At 40.2% G+C, this 1,803-nt stretch overlaps 1 annotated feature.

Annotated features, from left to right (window-relative positions):
- Positions 510 to 1,330: an enhancer, noted in NCBI's record as "OCT4-NANOG hESC enhancer chr2:116900117-116900937 (GRCh37/hg19 assembly coordinates)". NCBI's record gives its function as "activates a minimal SCP1, AML or CMV promoter by ChIP-STARR-seq in primed H9 embryonic stem cells {active_cell/tissue: H9 hESC(primed)}" and the evidence as "EXISTENCE:reporter gene assay evidence [ECO:0000049][PMID:30033119]".

The raw sequence follows: 1,803 nt of genomic DNA on the forward strand, positions 1-1,803 counted from the left end.
TGTGATTCTTCACTTGCTTTGGGCCATCTGGGCGTATATGTGCAGGTCACAGGGGATACGATGGCTTAGCTTGGGCTCAGAGGCCTGACAAGAATGATGATGGGTATTGGCATGGGAGGTAAAAGGCCAGGAAAGGCATGTTTTGAATCAATGTACTGATGGACTTGTTTAAGTTGAATGCAGATGGAAAGCTAGTTTCACTTTTTCATTGAATCATACGTTGTTCTCAGAAACTAGTGGCTCATTCTCTAATTGACTAAACCAGGTACCCAGAGGAAACATGGATTGTTGAAAATATACAAGTGTTATCTTGAGACCTTGTAAACAGCCCAGGGAGTATTGATAAGTCCAATAAGTTAAACAACAATGGTGTTTTCAGTACCATCATGAGGTCCTTCTTGCTACATTAAAAACCCAGATTTGAAGAGGGTCTTTGCTGCCACCAAAACAAGTCCTTTTAAAAAAGTAATGAAATAGCATAGGCCTTAATTCTAGGATTGTCAATCAGAATGCTAAGCATTCTGATTTCCGTGGACAGTTCATGGCACAAGAGTAGAATATATGTTTTAATGAAATTTTCCACACTGTGGTGGGCCTGTTGAAGATAAATAAAACCGGATGTTAGTTACAATGGTGAAAACAGACGTTATTCATAACTACTGAGAGGGAAAGAGCAGAGTTGCATTCCGATTTGCATAGAAGTGATGGTGCATTTTCATGAGAGAATGAGGGAGTGGAGGGGGAGCAAGCAGGCACTCAAGTAGTGTCAGGGAAGTGAAAAATTACAAAGGTTGGTCAGTGTAAATGTAATTAGTCTAGCTGTGTCTGTTAACTGGCAATGATCACAGTTAGGATTCTATCCTCCCACAGGGACTGGGAGGTAGAGACCCTATCCTTCCTTGGAAATGCAATCATTATTACATTTTAAAGTAATGGCTTTCAGGTCCTTGGGAAAGACACTTCTGAGTTGTAGGAGAGGCATATACATCTCAAAAGGACAGAGACGTATTCACAATGTTAAGCTATGTTTAGCAAAGGATCTAAATAAGCAGGTCAGGTGCCTATTCATCCAGGGTTCCCTAAAACAAACAGTAAATTCTTTTGACAGCCCTGAGCTTTTCGAGGCAGGAATTTAAAAGAAAGCTGGGTGGTTACGGAGACACAACGAATGATCTTACGGTGATAGAAGCCCTGCTAAAGTTTAGTCAATTCTCTTAGAGCAGAGTTTTAGATGAAGTTATTATGAGCTGACAGTTCTTGCAATTCTCAACCCAGGGTCAATTTACATCCTGCAAATCAAGGAAGTTTCTTGGAGGCCCCAGAATCTGAGGCCTCCTTAGAGTGTTACCTCAAAACTGGGCATTATAAAAAAAATGTATGTAATTGTTCTATGTATTGTATCATCTGAGTTGAAGATTCTACTTGGTGTGGGCACGGAGGACCACAGGTGGTAAGATACTGGACATGGAATACTCATTTTTCCAAGTGGAACATTAAGGTCCTCATCTTTATCAGAAGCCATGGTTCTCATCTAGTTGCATGTTTTATGTAATTATATCCTGTGGAAAGAGAGGAATTTAGTGTTCAGAATATTTCTGCTAGATCATGGACTCTTGGAAATATATGCCCAGAGTAACAGAGGACACCCAGGAAATGACACTAACAATTATAGGGAGCCAGACTGTCCATGCATTGTGCCTAGAGTCTCTGGACTTTCACTGGAGTAATTTGGCATTTTATCTATTAATCAAGGAGGATATTTAAAGTTTCTGGAGATGCCAGAATCTACCAAGATACATTAAA

This window comes from Homo sapiens, chromosome 2 (assembly GCF_000001405.40).
Source record: "Homo sapiens chromosome 2, GRCh38.p14 Primary Assembly".
Taxonomy (NCBI): Eukaryota; Metazoa; Chordata; class Mammalia; order Primates; family Hominidae; genus Homo; species Homo sapiens.